The 2,459-nt window shown below is 57.5% G+C and overlaps 1 pseudogene, besides 1 other annotated feature; it reads left to right on the top strand.

Moving 5' to 3' along the window:
* Nucleotides 519-1,409: an enhancer, noted in NCBI's record as "H3K4me1 hESC enhancer chr12:11652643-11653533 (GRCh37/hg19 assembly coordinates)". NCBI's record gives its function as "activates a minimal SCP1, AML or CMV promoter by ChIP-STARR-seq in primed H9 embryonic stem cells {active_cell/tissue: H9 hESC(primed)}" and the evidence as "EXISTENCE:reporter gene assay evidence [ECO:0000049][PMID:30033119]".
* Nucleotides 1,281-1,832, top strand: IQSEC3P2 (IQ motif and Sec7 domain 3 pseudogene 2; annotated as a pseudogene).

The raw sequence follows: 2,459 nt of genomic DNA on the forward strand, positions 1-2,459 counted from the left end.
TGCCATGTGCAGTGTGATTCCTGCTTTAGTGGCATTGGGGGAGGAGTTAATTCAACCCAGTATAAATAGATTGTGCTCTCACCTTGCAATTTGAGGATTATTTTTCCCACCTGTCATGCACCTCCTTCCTTCTGGCTCCCTAAGCTCTAGTCTGGGTGAGCAGGGCCTGGACACTGCTATACCTAGAGTCACTAGCCACTGCCCAGTCTGTGTAAGAAGCAGGCCTCGAATTCCTCAGGGTTAGAGTGGGAAGAACCCATGTGTGCACATTTGCTTTTCCAACCTGGGCACCATTTGGCAGCTGATTCGGGCAATTCTCTCACCACCACCACACTGCCCATGTATCCCTGTTTCCAGCCTCTGTTTTCCTCTGCAGCCAGGGCTCCTTTCTTGTATACCCAAGGTGGGGAGCTGAACTGAGATCATGTATGGACAGGGTTCTTGGCAGGTACCAAGCACCTTATAAGGGGTGAGGAAATGTTGCTCCTTCTCCAAGTTCCTCCATTTTCCCTACCAATTACCCAGCCCCTGGTCCTGCCCATTCCCTCCCTCATTCACTCAGCAGCTATCAGCAGAATCCCATCTCCTATGAGCTCCTGGCCTCCCACCAAATGCTCTGTCTCCCATCCCCACCTTTATAGACTGAAGCTGTGCACACGATTAGGATAAGGGCTGTGGTGTCTCAACACCACGCTACCTGAGGTAAGTGGGTGCCGGTGGGCGTGGGTGGCTCTGATGCTCTGGCTCCCACCCACAGGCACCATGACTCCTGCGAGGACCCAGCATCCCCTGGCAGATCAGACCTATGCCTTGTCCCACATCCCACCAGACCTGCAGTGAGAGGAGGCCGTCCGGCAGGTGGCAGATGCCCGGCAGTGCCTGCAGAAGGTCCCTGGAGACATCTTCAGCAGGTGGGTGCTGCCACCCATCCCCCACCTGATCAGAGGGCCGCCCCCTGTCCTTCTGCGGTCACCTGCGTTTATCCTGCTTCCCTCCCACGCCCGAACCTCTTGCTCGCCTCCTCCCTCTTCTCAATGCCCTGCGAGTAGCAAAGCCTCCTCTGGACGCCAAGAGACAGGAAGGGCTGCCCTGGGCCATGACCCTGCCCCGCGGTGGGTGTGTGAAAGTCAGGGTGGCAGTGACGCGGCGCCTGCGGCGAGAGGAAGACTAGGCCAGGGGGAGAAGGAAGAAAGCCGACCGCTGGGCTGCTGGGATCCCGCGCCCTCGCGCTCCCCACCGCCGCCCAGGCGCAGGAAGGGCTCAAGAGGCTGGCGGGCGGCTTGGAGAGACTTCTGGAGAATCCGGTGCGCCGGGCTCTACCTCAAGGAGCTCAGGGCCATCGTGCTGAACCAACAGAGGCTCGTCCGCACCCAGCGCCAGAGCATCGACGAGCTGGAGCGGCGGCTGAACGAGCTGAGCGCCTAGAATCGCAGCCTGTGGGAGCATCCGCAGCTGCCGCAAGCGCAGCCTCCGCCCGGATTCCTTACCTCGTAGCCGTCCCCGCTGCCGGCCCTCCTAGGCACCGCTGCCGCCGCCACCGCCGGGGCCCAGGAACATCTTCAGGACCACGGACAGCGCTCATCCGCCCGGCCACTGCCCGCGCCCGAGCTGGCATCGTTTCAGAACCACGAACAGCTCCTGGCGCAACCCGAGCCAGACCCTGGAGGCAGGGCTCACACAACCCAGTCGCCCCATCAGCACCCGGGAACACTTGGGGTCAAGGCCAACAAGGAGAAGAAAGGTCCCCCGGGTTGCTGCGCTGCCCCCGGAACCCCCCTTCAGCAAGAATCTCCCGCGCCCTCGGCAAGGGAGTCCTGAGCAGGAGACCTGAGTGAGCGGGGAAGAGCAGATGAGCACTGCTGTGGTGGAAGCAAGGGAAGCAAGCGGGTGTGAGGGGGAGATGCAGAAATTGGGTGCGTGGGAGTCTAAAGGACCTGGGTGATGTGGCGCGAAGGGGTGAGAAGATGCTTGGGGGCAGAAGCCTGACAGGGAGATTTCGGGGAAAAGAGGGGAAAATATTAGTGTTTGAGAAGGTTTTGGGGAATGTTGGCGCAAAAAGGAGTAACCAGATCATCAGTAGGGGCAAAAGACGAAAGAAAGAGGATATTTAAGCGATTGGGGATATTGGGAACTGGCAGCATTTAAAGGGACTAGACTAGAAGGAAGTTGGAGTGAAGATCAAACTGAAGAAAATAGAACCATTGAAATATTTTTTTAAGTTAGAAAAAAAATGGAAGGGAGTTTCAGTAGTAGAAGTATTTGAATGGAGAGTGAGATACGAAAAAGTCAGAGACATGGAGGCATGCGAAGAGCTTTACAAGGGCTGGGGCCAAGGAAGAGTAGGACTGGGGTAGAGGGGAATTCAGAAGGTGGAGAACAACGCTGAAAAGCAGGAGTGATGTGGGAAACCAGGGGAGCTGGAGGCAGAGGAAGAGAAAATGTGGCTCTTTACCTGGTGC

Source organism: Homo sapiens, chromosome 12 (assembly GCF_000001405.40).
Source record: "Homo sapiens chromosome 12, GRCh38.p14 Primary Assembly".
In the NCBI taxonomy this organism is placed as follows: domain Eukaryota; kingdom Metazoa; phylum Chordata; class Mammalia; order Primates; family Hominidae; genus Homo; species Homo sapiens.